The sequence below is a fragment of the Homo sapiens genome, chromosome 13, assembly GCF_000001405.40.
Source record: "Homo sapiens chromosome 13, GRCh38.p14 Primary Assembly".
In the NCBI taxonomy this organism is placed as follows: Eukaryota; Metazoa; Chordata; class Mammalia; order Primates; family Hominidae; genus Homo; species Homo sapiens.
The window spans coordinates 100,319,282-100,338,030 of record NC_000013.11 but is presented as its reverse complement, the minus strand read 5'-3'; the positions used below and the strand labels follow the sequence as shown (position 1 = coordinate 100,338,030).

The 18,749-nt window shown below is 38.5% G+C and overlaps 1 protein-coding gene and 1 long non-coding RNA gene across 39 annotated transcripts in view; one reads left to right on the top strand and one right to left on the bottom strand.

Annotated features, from left to right (window-relative positions):
- The window catches only part of LOC105370335 (uncharacterized), a 35,417-nt gene extending 26,912 nt beyond the window's left edge, over positions 1-8,505 (top strand). For all 3 annotated transcript variants that reach the window (XR_007063852.1, XR_007063851.1, XR_007063853.1), the window contains one exon: positions 8,429-8,505. This is a non-coding gene — a long non-coding RNA (uncharacterized LOC105370335). The remainder of the gene's footprint in view (positions 1-8,428) is intronic.
- The window catches only part of PCCA (propionyl-CoA carboxylase subunit alpha), a 441,343-nt gene that overhangs the window by 192,405 nt on the left and 230,189 nt on the right, over positions 1-18,749 (bottom strand). For all 36 annotated transcript variants that reach the window (NR_148030.2, NR_148027.2, NR_148028.2 and 33 more), the window contains one exon: positions 7,360-7,470. Coding sequence is in view for 30 of the 36 variants with exons in the window: in XM_017020609.2 (XP_016876098.1) it covers positions 7,360-7,470 (111 nt within the window). In the remaining 6 variants the exon portion in view is untranslated. Of the gene's footprint in view, positions 1-7,359; positions 7,471-18,749 lie in introns of those variants that run through there.

The following is an 18,749-nucleotide window of genomic DNA, read 5'->3' as shown; positions in this document are numbered from 1 at the left end:
GGACTGATATTTATCAAACTGTGTAAAGAAACTGTTTAGTAGTTCATGAAGCCAGTTTAATGTGTCATGTGCAGGAAGACAAATTATCATAGCACTTTAAACACAGTATTTTACATGAAAATGTTGTGTGTGTTTATATGTGCATACTATGTCAGGATGTAAAATGTATTTCTCATGGTGGTTCACAATCAAAGTCCTTTACAAGTCAGTTCTTTAGACACATATGCACCGTATATACCATCAGCAAGGGAGGAGGCAATGCATTAGGGGAACCCATTCACTGCAAGATGCTCAATCAGTATTTCATCTGGTCTAACCAACTATTAGTGCATGGACTCAGGCAATATTGAGAGAGGTCTCCCAAATAAAATGGACCATCATTCATCACATCTCCCAGGCAAACTGATATGATGCACATCAACTTCAAGCATTTTACTGATATTCCACTTCAAAAGGGGGGTACTCAGTTCCAACAGGCTCTGTATAAGAAGTCTGATCATAACTGACCTATTCTTACAACGATTTTAGCATAATGCTACTCCTGATCACAGGCCAGAGTGGACTTGACTTCTGCAAGTTCCCCTGCGGCCTGATACTAAGTAAGGCATGTCTTCCCTGGCTCTGACCTTGAGCTCCCTTTGAACGGTCTCCACTGTTTGCCCTCTGGGGGTGGTAGACCAGCTTGGTGTTGAGTCAGACACACTGACACTGCATTCTGGGCTAGTAAGCTAAGGTGAATGTACCTCATTCCCTTTTCTGAGCAGCTTCTAATGTGTAAACCCTGCCTGGCTGCCATGAGGGGAGCTGGGAATGCATGCTGCCTGCTAACCTGCTGGAATGTAAGTCCCATGAGGGCAGCTCCTTTTTCTGTTTACTGATGAATCCTACACACCTAAAACTTGGGGGCGCGGTAAGTATTTTAAAAGCTCTCCAATTCTTCCTACCCCTTTTAGCGAGTGTGAACGTAAACCAAGAGTGCTGTAATCTGACACTTGGTTTACCCTCTCCCCCAACCCCGACAGAGAAGACTGAGAGGTGCTGCTGGGTGCATGTGGAATACAGGTGGTGAGGAGGCAGAAGGACTGAGAGCTCCAGCCTCACATGCAGGACACATGCAGCCTCAAGCACTCTTCAGAGGAGCAAGTCACTTGTACTTGTTACAGGTCTAGATGGAGTTCTAAGGCTTTCTTAAACCCAGCCTTGGAACGTTCACAACATTCAAGCTTAGAGCCTCTACTGCGAAGTCAACGAGGCTGGGCACAGTGGGCTCTTCAGTGAAGACATGGCTGGAAAAAGCTGCAACTCTTGGTTCTAAAAGCCTTAGGCTTTTTGACAGTTTTACCTCTGTATTCCCAGAGCCTAGAGCACAATCTTTTACCCAACAGGCTCTATAAGTATTTGTGACTGAAAGAAGAAAAACCTTCCTCCTCACAACTAACTCTTACCTTCTTAAACTTTTGGGGGGATAATTTCATGCAAAAGTCCCAACCCCTAAACAATGTTTATTATCTCCTCTCCTTGTTCATTAAGCCACTAATTACTGGAGTTCAAAACCATGTAACAGCACCTACAAGCTTTGTGACATGCCACTATGACCCTCATGCTACTGGCCACCCTCATTGGCATGATGCAGTTTTCAAGAAGCCTGACCTGTGTATTTCCCGAGTGGTTTTAGGTCTACCATTTATTTTTAACAGCTACGCGCTGGTTCCCATTACATGTAGTGTTTTCTGTTTTTTGGGTGTGTGTTTGTTTGTTTTTGTTTCTTGAGACAGAGTTTTGCTCTTGCTGCCCAGGCTGGAGGGCAGTGGCACCATCTCGGCTCACCACAACCTTTACCTCCTGGGTTCAAGTGATTCTCCTGCCTCAGCCTCCTGAATAGCTGGGATTACATGCACATGCCACCATGCCCGGCTAATTTTGTATTTTTAGTAGAGACGGGGTTTCTCCACATTAGTCAGGCTGGTCTCAAACTCCTGACTTCAGGCGATCCGCCCCACTCGGCCTCCCAGAGTGCTGGGATTACAGGCATGAGCCACCGTGCCCGGCCACAGTGTTGTATTAAATAATGCAGATAGAGGTCCTGATTCTAATCCAGGCCCGTTCTCTCTTCGTGGGCTATGGCTTTGTTGACCACTGGCAGCTTTGTCTGTAGGGTAATCTGGCTGGACTGTTTTGTTGGGGAATCTTTAGGTCATCTCACCAGGGGGTTAGATTTTTCAAGGATCGTCTACTTTCATGTCTGTGAGTACCAGTCTGCCTGCCAGTCCCCTGGGAACCAACTGAGGAACAAAGCTGGGGCAGAGAGTGTCACCACATTTATTATGTCCATGTTCCCTCGATCCTTTGTCCAACTGTGCCTGGTGTCCCCTGGTTTTTATCCTCTGCAGAGAAGAATCTGAAAGCTTACACCAGGATGAGGGAAAGAGAGTCGCCTTACTCTGAAGAGTGAGGGAAGTGATATGGAGAAAATTTTACAGATATTTTAGGTCAGTAGTGCTACCTTTAGGAATTTCCCAGGGTATCTGGAGCTAATAATTATTGAGACTTCTGAAGGGTTCTGCAGTGGTAATGAGCTACTTCTCAGTTTCTCTCATTGTCAGCTTAGGATTCAACTTTCTTAGGTTACTAAGTCAGTTAAGAATCATCTTTCAGCTGTTCATTTTACCAAATGCTATTTCCTTTCTTCTTCCTAGTGGGCTTGTGTCTTTAAAAAACTCAAGTTAGTGGATTTGGGGGTAGGGGGAAAAATATGTATATTTTTAAGCTATCATCTTACCTAAAAACTGGTTAAAGTACTTTCTTTAGCAATTTCCTCAAAAGGAGTATATATGGTAAAATAGTTCTGAATCCTTATTTAACTGAAAACAAATTTGTTTATATTGATGACGATATCTTAGCTGGGTATAGTACTCTTGAGTCAAATTCTTTCCTATGTAGCAGACACTATTCTAAGATTTCTAACTTCCAGTTTATAGAGTATGAACATAATCTCACTGTACATTCCTTGCATCTTCTTTCTTTTCTTTTAGAAGATTTAAAAAAGTATTTGTTTTTTATATGCCTAGTGGAGTTACTTTTTAAATTAATCCAGTCTGAATCTCAGTGAGTCTTTCCAAGAATACCTAAGGCTTTCTTAAGAACAGTGAGAAAAAAATCTCTATTATTTCTTTCAAAGTTATCCTTCATTTCCATTTTTCTTTTCATGAAACTCCTAGTATGCACTTATGTGTAAAATCTTTTGGATCTTCCCTCCATATCTCTCATCATTTTCCACATGATTTCATTCTCTTTACCTTTTTGCTGCATATTTTGAGATACTTCCATTTATTCCTTTGAGTCACTAATTTGGATCTTAGTAGTGACCATCCTACCTTCCACATTGACTGCTGAATTGTTTTATTTAGAAAAATCACAGTTTTTTAGTTCATTAAGTCTTTCTCCTCTAATTCAGTATTTTTAAGTGTTCTTCCCATTTTTCAGTAAGCACAGTCATCTGCCTCCTACAACAGCAGCTCTAAAACTGAGCACCACCTGTCCTTAGTGAGTCTTCTAGGTCTTCCTCCCTAGATGAGTAATTCTTTTCCTTTTTACATCAGGGACTCTGCTCAATATGCAGGCCAAAGAGTTAGGCAGTGGTTTGCTGGTAAATGCTTAACAAACAACTGGGGTGTGGGGGAAGGAGAAAAGCCGCAGGGTACAACCAATTTCTTTACAGTAAATACTTTCTTCATGGCTGATTACAAACTACCAACTTCAAAGAGGATGGCTTATAAAGATGTGCACACATGGCTCTCACAAGTGCAGCCCAGCTCCCATGGAGAGAGTCCCCGGAGAGGTATTCCAATAGTCTAAATGCTACCTCATCCTTAAAGCCTTTCTTTATTCCCTCAAATGGAACTGGGTTTCCGGTGTTTTGTTGTTGTTGTTGTTTTGTTTTGTTTCTCTTCTGTCAAGATACTTTGCTTACATCTTTACCAGGCACTTACTTTATCCTGTCCTGTAGTATAGTGGGTACTTTACATTATTATTTCTCTCATGATGTCAGCTCACTAAGAGCAGGTAAAATATACCCATCTTTGATTTTCTTCTAGAGCCTATATCAATTATTTGTTGAATGACTTTAATGATTGAATTCAGTCCAAATATCATAGTAGTATTTTTTAAAGTGTAGATATACTTGACTAAATTCAGTGGAAAAAAGAGAAGTATAATTAATTATATACTTTTTGTGTTGAGTGAAATTTTTACCAGAAGATCTGTAACTTCTTAAAAGAATGAGATAATTCTGACAATTTCTTTCGATGGGGCTTGGGGTTGAAGTATAGGAAGGTATCAGAGAAATAAGCCCAAAATGTTCATTATAGGCCAAATGAAATTATAGTTCTTAAAATATCTTCTTCCTCATGTTCCATTTATTTTTCAGAATCAAGGGAAACCGCTTTTCAACATCCACATCTAAAGAGATGACAAGAATAATTTCTCATGTATCCTATTTTTTAATTTTAGAAGCAATCATTTCAAAGTTTAACTCTAAGAATCTCTAGTAAAACTGGCTTAGTCTACATACAAATAAATGTGGGATAATAAACATATACAATAGAAAATTTTAATGCAGTCATAAAAATAGGTGCTTGCCTGTGAATAGTGCCTAGGATAGCTGAACAGATGGGAAGCAGATGGGAAACCCCAAAGGGGCAAAATGACCTGGCCCCAAACATATGGAGAGGATCCTGGATTAACTGTAGTTACCACTTCCTTCAGTCTCTTGGGCACATATATCAAACAGTCAAAAGACGATACAGTTTAAAATATCTAAGACCTGATTTAGGGGGAAAATACAGCAATCTGAAGAAGAATGACAGACAGTAACCACTCAAAGAAGAATGAACTGATATGAAAATAAGAAAATAAAACAAGAGGGAGACATTAAGAATGGCAAATATAGGAGTGTGTTTCTAAAGTATTTAGAGGCAATATAACAACATGTAGCATACCCTGATTGAAAACATTTGTGATTTATGAATTTGAACCCCAGCATAACTCAAAGACTACTCAAATAGGAGTTGAATAAGCCTAGGTTCAATTCCTGGCATTATTATCTTACTGGTCATTTAGCTTTACTGATATCTCTGAGCTCTAGTTTCCTCACATGTAAAATGAAGGCTGCAACTAAATAATTGCTAAAAGCAATGTATGCCAATTTTAAAAATTGGTCTAAGCATAAAAAACAAAATTGTGGTGTCCAAGCTGTTAATTCCTTACAAAAAAAGAAATGTAATATATTATATGCATCACAGAAAACTGCAATATCTAGGTTTAAGTACATTTCTGAGTTTGAAGGGGATCCCTTCTCTACAGAATTTGGGATATTCTCTATTGTTGCTAAACGTCCAGCACATACTAATCAACTCTGATTAGAAAATTTAAATGCCCCATTTTCTTCTTCTCTGGGATACTTCACCATACATACATATAGACAAACTTATATATAAATGTGTATTTGTGTGTGTGTATATATATATAAATACCCATACATGCATATAATGTTTGTTCTAAAGGTTCTCTGTAGTTTTTCCCTGTTTTCTCCTTCTGCCCACTGTTTCCTATCTTATCACCATCACTGAATTGCCAGGCAGACATAAAAACATGGAAGTCCTAAGTCCACTTCAAAACGTACTACAACTTTTAATTAAAATTTTAGGAAGGACAAGAAACTAAATGTTAGGATCAAAATAGAATGAACTGGTTATCTGGATACATGTATAAATGATTAAAAATATCCAAAGTAGCGGCCAGGTACGGTAGCTCACGCCTGTAATCCCAGCGCTTTGGGAGGCCGAGGCGGGCAGATCACGAGGTCAAGAGTTCGAGTTCAAGCCTGGCCAACATGGTGAAACCCCGTTTCTACTAAAAATATAAAAATTAGCTGGGGGTAGTGGCACATGCCTGTAATCCCAACTACTTGGGACGCTGCGGCAGGAGAATCGCTTGAAACCGGAAGGCAGAGTTGCAGTAAGCCAAGACTGTGCCACTACACTCCAGCCTGGGCAAAAGAGCAAAACTCTGTCTCAAAAAAAAAAAAAAAAAAAAAAATCCAAAGTAATCCTTTCTCATCAATATTATGGCTAAGATTTTTTTTTTTTCATTAATTCAACAAATACTTAGTACCTACTATGTTTTGTGCTAGGGATAAAATGAAAAGCAATGACGTAAGGGGTTCTTAGCCTCATTAAACCAACAAATATTAAAAGAATAGTCACAAAAGTATAAAACTACTATCCTAGTTGTATTTTATTTTGTATTTTTAAAAATTCAAAAGTTTATGAAAAACAACCTAATAAATCATTAGTTTTTGTTTTAAGATCCCAACTTAGAGCCATTCTTCATTTGCCTTAATACTAATGATAAAACTCTATAACACTAAAGTTTTAAAACAATATTCAAATCAGTTATCTCTGTTGAGTCTTATGAAAACTCTGTATTGTAAATTCTGAACTGAAAACTGCTTTATAAATGCACCCAACAACTCAACGACATCAACTTGACCTGAATCTATATATAGCTCCTAATATGAATGTGAGTCATTTTACATTAAAACACTTTAATGGATACAAAGAACACTTGAAATATGGGACAGACTATCTAACCTTCATACCTCACTAGCTCATTAAAAATGTAGGTAGAGGCTTTCACCTGAGTAACATTTCTATTAAGTCTCAGTCTAAATCTTGTTTATCTCTCAATATCTTATGTTAACTATGTTTTGAATGCTCACTAAAGGGTTTTCTCTATCTCCCATTTGATGAGCAATTTTTCTACTACCTGGAAATGCTTGCTGATAACTTTGCTGTGTTAAATTTCACATTCCACTCATTACTTTATTGAAAACTTCATTTTTCAGAATAAAATCATCATCTTCCTAGATTTTCATTAATAGGACCAGAATCTGGTTTTCTGAAATTTTCAGTGCTATTTTCATTAATATATCTCTTAAAAATCACTTTAGAAGAGTTCCTTATATACTCACCTCAGTAGAAAATACAAATCTGATTTGATTTTCAGAAACCAGGAAGTCAGGTAGGCTAATGATCTATCTACATGTTTTGCTCCAAAACACTGGACTCATAGAACAATTCACATGGTTGAATTCTGCACTCCACAAGACTGCAGATTATCACACTCATGAGTCATCCATAAATACTCAAAATCATGAATGTAAACAGTCTTGCATGTTCTAAAAATGAAGTATAATATAAGCCAAAAGGCCTTAATTTCAAAATAGAGTGAAATTATGTATTACAATAAAGTATAAAAATAACAACTTTAAAACACTAAAATATTTTAATGCATACAAACCTTTGAAGCCATCAGGATACACATCGGAGAGAAATTTAGTGCTGATGTCTCCTTTTACAAAGCGTGAGTTGATTATCACCTCTCGAAGTAATGCAATATTATGTGTAACACCTAAAAGTAAAATGATATCAAATTGAAGAACAATGAATCAGTGAAAAATTGAATTCTGATAATCTGGAGAAATTTATCATCACTGTTCTATGACCTAGCAGAAACCATTCAAGATTACTTATTTCCTTGAATTCTATTAACAACAAAAAATATCTGAACTTGTGGTATCAATAAAACACTAAATATAAATTTAAGAAGCTTGGTATTGCCAAGTCAAGTCAACGGGCTGTATTAGGGTGGTGCAAAAGTAATTGTGGTTTTGGGCCGTGAATTTTAAATCATTAAAACTAGGCTCAAACACATCTTTATTAATCAAAATAGGGACCATTACATCAGCTCCTTTTTCTCAATGAGAAATAAGTTTGTTTATTCCTGTAGCATAAAAATCCATGCTTCGGGATTTGACGAACTCTTGGAGAGCATTTTTTGCATCCTGCTGGTTGTGGAAGTGTTTTCCCCGCAAAAAGTTGTTGAGATGCTTGAAGTGGTGGTTGGTTGGCGAGAGGTCAGGTGAATATGCCGGATGAGGCAAAACTTCATAGCCCAACTCATTCAAATTTTAAGCATTGGTTATGTGACGTGCAGTTGGGTGTTGTTATGGAGAAAAATTGGACATTTCTCGTTGACCAACGCCAGCTGCAAGCATTGCAGTTTTTGGTGTATCCCATCGATTTGCTGAGCATACTTCTCAGATGTAATGGTTTCACCAGGATTCAGAAACCTGTAGTGGATCAGACCAGCAACAGACCACTAAACAGTGACCATGACCTTTTTTTGGTGCAAGTTTGGCTTTGGGAAGTGCTTTGGAGCTTCTTCTTGGTCCAGCCATTGAGCTGATCATCGCTGGTTGTCATATAAAATCCACTTTTCATCACACATCACAATCCAAGAAATGGTTCATTGTCTTGTAGAACAGGAAAAGACAACACTTCAAAATGATAATATTTTTTATTTTCAGTCAGCTCATGAGGCACCCACTCATGGAGCTTTTTCATCCTTCCAATTTGCTTCAAATGCCAAACGACTGTAGAATGGTTGACGCTGAGTTCTTCAGCAACTTCTCATGTAGCTTTAAAAGGATCAGCTTCGATGACTGCTCTCAATTGGTTGTTATCAACTTCTGAAGGCCGGCCACTAAGCTCCTCATCCTCAAGGTTCTCATCTCCTTTGCAAAACTTCTTGAACCATCACTGCACGGTACGTTCATTAGCAGTTCCTGGGCCAAACGCGCTGCTGATGTTGCAAGTTGTCTCTGCTGCTTTACATCCCATTTTAAACTCAAATAAGAAAATTGCTCAGATTTGCTTTTTGTCTAACATCATTTCCATACTCTAAATATAAATTAAACAGCCAGTAGTAAGTCATTAGCAAAAAAACAAAGCGAGAAATGTACATTAAAATGATGTATAACATAACCATATTTATTTAAGAATGTATTCCAATATCAAACAGCAAATTTCAGCAATGCAAAAACCGCAATTATGTTTACACCAACCTAATAAATGTCGTTTCAATAAATGGTACTAGAACAAACAGCTAACCATTTGGACCAAAAAAAAAAAAAAAAAAGTCCAGGCGCGGTGGCTCACACTTGTAATTCCAGCACTTTGGGAGGCCGAGGCAGGCAGATCATGAGGTAAGGAGTTCGAGACCAGCCTGGCCAACACAGTGAAACCCCATCTCTACTAAAAATACAAAAATTAGCTGGGCGTGGTGGCAGGCACCTGTAATCCCCGCTACTTGGGAGGCTGAGGCAGGAGAATCGCTTGAACCTGGGAGGTGGAGGTTGCAGTGAGCCAAGATCACACCACTGCACTCCCACCTCAGCGACGGAGCTAGACAACATCTCAAAAAAAAAAAAAAAAAAAAAATTAACCTCAACGCTAACACCTAACAACATAGACAAAAAATTAACTCCAAATGAATCACAAACCTATTTTCATAACTACAGTAGAAAATATGGAGGAAAAAATCTGTTACCTTAAGGTAGGCAACGGATTCTTAGTACATAGAAACCATGAACTATAAAAATATTGACAAACTGTACTTCATCAAAATTTAAGTCTGCTCCTCAAAAGAGGCAACTAAGAAAATAAAATAACAAACTACAGCCTGAGAGAAGATATTCACATAAAATATATTATTATTATCATCATTATTATTATTATTATTATTATTATTATTATTATATATTTTTTGAGACAGGGTCTCACTCTATCGCCCAGGTCAGAGTGCAGTGGTGCAACCTCGGCTCACTGCAACCTCTGTCTCCTAGGTTCAAGCGATTCTCCTGCCTCAGTCTCCTAAGTAGCTGGGATTACAGGAACACGCCACCACACCCAGCTAATTTTTGTATTTTTACTAGAGACGGGGTTTCATCATGTTGGCCAGGTTGGTCTCGATCTCCTGACCTCGTGATCTGCCCGCCTCGGCCTCCCGAAGTGCTAGGATTACAGGCGTGAGCCACTGCACCCGGCCACCCAGCTAATTTTTATATTTTTTGTAGAGACACGTTTTTGCTGTTGCCCAGGCTGGTCTCGAACTCCTGGGCTCAAGTGATCCACCCACCTTGGCCTCCCAAAGTACTAGGATTATAGGCATAAGCCACCGTGTCTGGCCCACAATACATATATTGAACAAGGGAGTTGTATCTACCAACATATAAAGAACACTTACAACACAATTATAAGACAAAAAACACACCAAGTAAAAAAACACAGTCAAAATGTCCACTAAGCATAGGAAAAATTGTTCAACATCATTATTGTTAAAGAAACACAATGAGATGCCGTCAATATACCGATTTACATGGCCAAAGTGAAAAGACAGATAATAGCAAGTGCTAGTCAGGATATGGAACAAGAATTGTCACACTGTGGTGGCAATATAAAATGATACACACACTTTGGAACAGTTTGGCAGTTTCTGGAAAAGTTAAACATATATTCACTGATTCAGACAACTCACTCCTACGTATTAAGTCAAGTTAAATAAAAACATATGTCTATACAAAGACTTACATACAAAGGTTAATAGCAGCTTTATTTACTATAATCAAAACCTGGAAACAATTTAAATCTCCATTAAGAGGCAAATGAATTAACAAAACTGGGCTTGTCCATACAATGGAATTCTATTCCACATACACACACAGAGTCAATAACACATTAAATAACAAGGATAAACCTAAAAATAATTATGCTGAGTTAAAAAAGCAAGACCAAAAATAATGCATAATAATGTATAATTCCATTAATATAAAATTTTAGGACATGCAAACGAGCCTACAGTGACAGAAAGCAGATCATGTGGTTACACTGGGAAAGGGGTAGAGGGAGGGTAAATGTCAAAGACCATAAGGAAACTTCCAGAGGTGAAAGAAGTGTTCAACACCATGGCTGTGGTAATGGTTTCACAGGTGTATACGTATGTCAAAACTCATGAAATTGAATACTTTAAATATCAGAAATTTATTATGTCAAGTATACCTCAATAAGTCATTTTTTTAAAGATGCATGTAATCTAGTAGAAAAAAATTGAGCCTAGTACACAATGACAATTTCAAAGCACAGGTGATGACTGAATAACATGAGGATTAGGGGTGCCTCCTGCACAGACAGAAATCCATATATAACTTTTGATGCTACAAAAAAGTAAATACTAATAACATACTGTTGACTGAAACCCTTGCTGAAAACATAGTCAATTACAAGTTTTATATATTATATATATTAAATACTGCAGTCTTGCAATAAAGCTAAAGAAAATGTTATGAAGCAAATCATAAGAGAAAATACATTTACTATTCATCAAGTGGAAGTGGATCATCATAACAGTCTTCCTCCTCCTCTTCAGGTTGAGTAGACTGAGGAGAAGGAGGAAGAGGAGGGGCTGGTCTTGCTGTCTCAGGGGTTGCAGAGGCAGGAGAGGTGGAGGAGGTGGAAGGGGAGGCAGGAGAGGCGGCACACTCTGTATAACTTTATGAATATACTTTGTAATTTTTGTCTGCCTTTTTTGCTTTTTCATTTCTCTAAAAATGTTTCTATATGATTTCAATCCTTCTTCCACTGTTTTAGTTTTACTGCCAGTATCACAGAAGGGTCCATGTCGTAAAATAAGTCAATAGCAGTCTTGAATAATCAGAATCCTTCTGCCGCATTGTCTGATGTGATCCTGTTTTCTGGCACTGCTTCTTCTATGTCTTCTTCTTCATCCTCTGGCACCAATTCAGAAGCATTTATCTACATCAAGTCATCCTCTGTTAATTCCTCGGGTGTGGTGTCTATCCGCTCTTGGATTCCTCTAAGATCCGTACCTTAAAACCCTTCAACCCCCACTCCACCTTTTATGTCAAATCCACAATCTCTTTCATGATTTCCTTGGTTGCCTCTTTCATAAATCCTGTGAAGTCATGCACAACATCCAGACAAAGTTTTCTCCAGCACAAATTTTGGGCTTGATGGCTTTCACAGCTTTTTATATGACAACAATGCATCTTCAGTGGTGTAATCTTTCCAGACTTTTTCTCTTCCACAGTGTCAACGATCGTTTCCATACAGCTCTGTGTATAATGAGCCTGAAAGGACCTTACAGTACTCTGAGCTAGAGACTGAATTAGACTTGTTGGGTTTGGGGAGAAGCAGGCCACTTCGACACCTTCGATGTTAAACACATGTGTTCTGGGTGGCTGGGGCTCTGTCCATATCAAAAGAACTTTAGAAGACAGCCCCTTACTGGCAAAGTACTTCCAGACTTTAGGGACAAAGCATCAATGGAGTCAATCCAGAAAAAGGGTTCTCATTGTCCAAGCCTTCTTGTTGTACAACCAGAAGACTGGCAGCCGGTGCTTATCATTTTCCTTCAAGGCTAGGAGATGAGCAGCTTCACAGATAAGTGCAGATCATAAACCTGATTGCATTTGCACAGAACAACAGACAGAGTTAGCCTATTCCTCCCTGTCTTAACTCCTCATGCTTGCTTCTTTTCCCTACTAAGAAATGTTCCTTGTGGCTTTTTTTTCCCCCTCAGAATAAGGCACTTGCGTCTGCATTAAAAACCTGTTCAGCAGATATCCTTTCTCTTCAATGATTTTCTTAATGGTGTCTTAATGCTGCCTCTTAGTTGGCAGAAACAGCTTCCCCTTCACATTTTGTCTTCACATTTTAAAGCCAAATCTCTTTCTAAAATTATCAAACCATCCTTGGTTGGCAATACATTCTCCAGCTTTATATCCTTCCACCTTCCTTTTGCTTTAAGTTGTCATATAACAACTTCACTTTTCCCATAGACAGTCATATTCGAGTCTATGGGAATGCCTTTCTTATAGTAATCCTGTACCCACATAAAAGCTGCATCTTCAATATGAAATGAAAGGTGTTTCACAAAAAAGTGCAAGATTTTCACACCTGCTGGTGTAGCTGCAGCAAATGCTTCATAAATTTCATTTTATTTTTTTTTACAATGGTCCTTACATGGGATTCATTTATCTTGAAATGACAGGAAACTACATCTGCAGACCTCAATCTACCATATATTATCAAGTAATTCAACTTTTTCTCGTAATGTCATGACTTTTCTCTGCTTCTTGGGAGGACCTCCAGCATTACTAGTAGCACTTTGTATGGATTCTGTCCTGTTATTCAAAGTTTATGGTTTGCACTAAACATGATGAAAAATATTCCAGAACCATAAGCAATGACTTTTTACTGCCATATGCAATTTACTGGAGAGAGAACTGATCACACAGCGGTGATCAGCATCACATGGTGTTTTAAGCAGATACTCGCAACACTTGAACTCACTGCAATAGCAACAGTAGGTGGCTATGAAACTATACAGTAGTACAGTATGTACTACAGTGAATCTTAATGTGGTTATGATTTCATGCTGCGTCTTTACTGTTTGTGTACATTTCTCTCTGCTTTGAATGGCACCAGGTATGGTCTCTGTTTGTGTAAGTTTTGATAAATGTTAACTTTTATAATAGATTTGTGTAAATTTTATAATAGCAAATGATGAAACAGACTAGTATCTCTATATATTTTATGTATTCATGACATACCTTTTTCTTTCTTTGGTACTTCGAGGCTATAGAGTTTGTCTGAAAGCTTTTTCAAATTGTCACAAATCTTCAAATAATTTTAGGATATATTTATTGAAAAAAAATCCAAGATAAATGGACCTGCACAGTTCAAACCAGTGTTGTTCAAAGGTCAACTGTAATATCAAAATAGGTAACTGCCACAAGAGGATACTAATAGTATTGGGAGAGTTCTAGGATGCAGGAAGGTTTTGTGAAGAATGAAGTATCTAATCTTGGTCATCCAGATTACAAAGATGTTACACAGGAATGAAAGCAAGTGGGAGGAAGCATGTTACATCCAGGGAAGGCAGAAATTACATCAGGCTTCCACAAGAAGAGCAGGTGACTGCAGCATGACAGCTGAAGTCAAAGTAAACAGAGGTTTGTTCATTCCTTCCTATTACTTTAGTCCACTCTTGTATGGTTCTAATCTGTACCATCATGCTGCATAAGAAACCTACGAAGTATGATTCTGATTTTACTATTCAAGTCTCACAGAATCCCCACTTTTGCAACAATAACCATAAAGTAAGCAAAGAATCAGATAGTCAAGTTCAAATACCAGGTCTATCCCTTACCTTAGGTAAGTTAGTTAACCTCTCAAAGCTTTAGTTTCCTCATTTGTAAATTAACAATAATAGAACCTATTATGCATGATTGTTATCAGGTATAAATGATATAATGCTTAATGCAATGCTGGGCTCTCAAAAAAGAACATTACTATCCTGTTATATGGGAATATACAAAGAGCATGAGACAAAATGTAATTAATAAAACATCAGACAGAAGTTTTCCTGCATCCTAAGCTTCAGCACTGACCTACCTAACTTCTAGTTCTGTTTTCTGTTAAGAATGGAGCTCCTGGCCAGGCACAGTGGCTCACACCTGTAATCCCAGCACTTTGGGAGGCCGAGGCAGGAGGATCACAAGGTCAGCAATTCGAGACCAGCCTGGCCAACATGGTGAAACCCCGTCTCTACTAAAAATACAATAATTAGCCAGGCGTGGTGGCAGGCGCCTGTAATCCCAGCTACTCTTGAGGCTGAGGCCTCCCGCTTGAAGCCGGGAGGTGAAGGTTGTAGTGAGCCGAGACCGCACCATTGTACTCCAGCCTGGGTGACAGAGTGAGACTCTGTCTCAAAAAAACAACAAAAAAAAAAAGAATGGAGCTCCTGAAATCTGAGTTTACACCTGTATCTATTTGGAAAGTGTAACTTTCCTACAAGACAATGGTTGGCAAAATATGGCCTGAAGGCCAAATCTAGCCTCCTACCTATTTTTGTAAAAAAAGTTTTATTAGAACACAGCCAGCCTGGTTTGCTTACATATGACTGTTTTCATGTTGTAACAGCAGAGTCAAGCAGTTGTAACAGAAACCTTGTGTCCCACAAAGTCTAAAACATTTACTATCTAGCCCTTTAATCTGAGCAAACCTATCTATATGCATCAACATGTATTCTACACTATTACTCATGCAGCCATTAGATATCATGGGAAGGAAAATGAGAGCACACAATATGGTACCTGCTCTTGGGAAACTGCGCAACTAGTTATAGAATAAGTAAACTACAGAGAAAAATGGGACCTTACAAATGAGAAAATTGTGCTGGGTGCAGTGGCTCACACCTTTAATTCCAGCACTTTGGGAAGTCAAGGTGGGAGATGACTTGAGACCAGGAGTTCAAGATCAGCCTGGGCAATGTAGCAAGACCCTGTCTCTACAAAAAATAAAAACAGAAAATTAGCTGGGAATGGTGGCATGTGCCTATAGTCCCAGGTACTTGGGAGGCTGAGGCAGGAAGATCACTTGAGCCCAGGAGTTCGAAGTTGTAGTGAGCTACGGCTGCATCACTGTACCCAAATCTGGGTGACAGAGAGAGACCCTATCTCTAAAAGAAAAAAAAAAAATTAAAAAAAAGAAAATTGCAATCCAGAGAGACTGAATAGTTTACCTAATGATTAGCACATTATATATCACAATAGTTACATATATATAATTATATATAAACAATTTTTAAGACACAGTTTATTGTGACAGACTGCTAGTTTCTCCTAAAACCTGCTTTTCATTTTTCCATAGTAATAGAATTTTAGCTGAGCAAAAGACACCCAGACACAGACTCCACTTTCCCATCTAGCTTGTAGGTAGGCATGACAAACTAATTCCTAGACAAAGGAAGGTAAGCTAAAGTGATGTACGCAACTTCCGACTCTCTCATTGCTTGCTTGAGCTTCCTTTCTTCTCGTCTTACTGTGGGTTTCCTGACATGGCAGAAACTCAGCTTTGGCAATTCAAACGGAGTGGCACATCAGGATGGGTGTGTGTATCTTTGAATGACCTCATGAGGCTGACTTGCCTCCTAGCAGCATGGACCAGACAGTTACATGAGAGGTAAATAAACGTCTCTCTTATTTATCCCACTGTATTTAGAAATCTTTGTTACAGCAGGTTACCCTGTACCCTAGTGCATGTGTTTGAGCGAGCAGGGCACACCTTTTCAATATGACTTTCCATCTCTAAGCTAGCCAATGATAACAGCTTAACATGTATACCCTCCCAGGCATTTTCCTATGCATCCTTTTATACTAGACCATATCCACAACCATATGGAAAATCCTGAGCATTTCTGTTCCTGACTCAAGAGATGCTATGTATCTAAATTTTATAAAGGCCAATTCTCAATTTATCAAAACTGCCTCAAGACGTTTAGAAAACATTCACAAATTCAAATTAATGCTATTCCTTTAGCTACACAAAAATTCCATGGAAAAAGTTATATATATCAGAATCGATCATATTCTTCACTATATACATATATATATATTATAGATTGCTTTATGTACACACACACACACACACACACACACACACACACACACACACACAGATCTTCTATAGCGCATGCCCATGAGATCTACACAGCTATTTCATGCTTGTTCTGTGGGTAATGATTTACTTGGCCCATACATAATAACTATGTTTCAGAGGGCTTTAATAAGTTTTTTTAATGAGAAACATAGTAGAAGGCAGATGAAATTTCTAATGACATCAATATACCTAAGAAATCATTGAAAAAATGTGGCGTTGCTTTTGTTTAGATGAAAGTGAAAAGCAACTGAAGGCAATATGCTAGGATGCTTAGAAAGATCAATTAGGTAGGCAAAAATGTAAAAAGCTCCTTGAAAGAGATCAGGCTAAATAAAACATGGGAAATTAATCCCTTGATCATGTTTCACAAAGAGACAAACTAGAGTGCTTTTGAAAAAGAAAAGAGGTATCACTTGCCAGAAAGGTTCACCTGCATAGGAAATGACAGCTTTGGTGTTCCGGGAAGAGGAAAGTATTTGAGACTTACACAGATTTTCCTGGCTGGGAAGGAAAACAGAAAGATGAGAAGGACCCAAAGATAAGTAGCTAAGGCTATGGTAACATTAGGGAGGAATTTAGCTCACACCTGTAATCCCAGCCCTTTGGGAGGCTGAGGGAGGAGGACTGCTTGAGGCCAGGAGTTTGTGACCAGCCTGGACAACAAAGACCCTATCTCTACAAAAAATTTAAAAATTAGCCGCGTAGGGTGGCACATCTGTAGTCCCAGCTACTCAGGAGTCAGAGGCAGGGAGATCACTTGAATCCAGGAATTCAAGGCTGCAGTGAGCTATAATTGTGCCACTGCACTCCAGCCTAGGCAATACAGAGAGGCCCTAAAATATTCCTCATGAACATCGATGCAAAAATCCTCAATAAAATACTGGCAAACCAAATCCAGCAGCACATCAAAAAGCTTATCCACCATGATCAAGTGGGCTTCATCCCTGGGATGCAAGGCTGGTTCAACATATGCAAATCAATAAATGTAATCCAGCATATAAACAGAACCAAAGACAAAAACCACATGATTATCTCAATAGATGCAGAAAAGGCCTTTGACAAAATTCAACAGCCCTTCAGGCTAAAAACTCTCAATAAATTTGGTATTGATGGGACGTATCTCAAAATAATAAGAGCTATTTATGACAAACCCACAGCCAATATCATACTGAATGGGCAAAAACTGGAAGCATTCCCTTTGAAAACTGGCACAAGACAGGGATGGCCTCTCTCACCACTCCTATTCAACATAGTGTTGGAAGTTCTGGCCAGGGCAATCAGGCAGGAGAAAGAAATAAAGGGTATTCAATTAGGAAAAGAGGAAGTCAAATTGTCCCTGTTTGCAGATGACATGATTGTATATCTAGAAAACCCTATCATCTCAGCCCAAAATCTCCTTAAGCTGATAAGCAATTTCAGCAGTCTCAGGATACAAAATCAATGTGCAAAAATCACAAGCATTCTTATACACCAATAACAGACAAACAGAGAGCCAAATCATGAGTCAACTCCCATTCACAATTGCTTCAAAGAGAATAAAATACCTAGGAATCCAACTTACAAGGGATGTGAAGGATCTCTTCAAACAGAACTACAAAACACTGCTCAACAAAATAAAAGACACAAACAAATGGAAGAACATTCCATGCTCATGGATAGGAAGAACTAATATCGTGAAAATGGCCATACTGCCCAAGGTAATTTATAGATTCAATGCCATCCCCATCAAGCTACCAATGACTTTCTTCACAGAATTGGATCTTTAAAGTTCATATGGAACCAAAAAAGAGCCCACATTGCCAAGACAATCCTAAGCCAAAAGAACAAACCTGGAGGCATCATGCTACCTGACTTCAAACTATACTACAAGGCTACAGTAACCAAAGCAGCATGGTACTGGTACCAAAACAGACATATGGACCAATGGAACAGAACAGAGCCCTCAGAAATAACACCACACATCTACAACTATCTGATCTTTGACAAACCTGACAAAAACAAGAAATGGGGAAAGGATTCCCTATTTAATAAATGGTGCTGGGAAAACTGGCTAGCCATATGCAGAAAGCTGAAACTGGATCCCTTCCTTACACCTTATACAAAAATTCATTCAAGATGGATTAAAGACTTATATGTTAGGCCTAAAACCATAAAAACCCTAGAAGAAAACCTAGGCAATACCATTCAGGACATAGACATGGGCAAGGACTTCATGTCTAAAACACCAAAAGCAATGGCAACAAAAGCCAAAATTGACAAATGGGATCTAATTAAACTAAAGAGCTTCTGCACAGCAAAAGAAACTACCATCAGAGTGAACAGGCAACC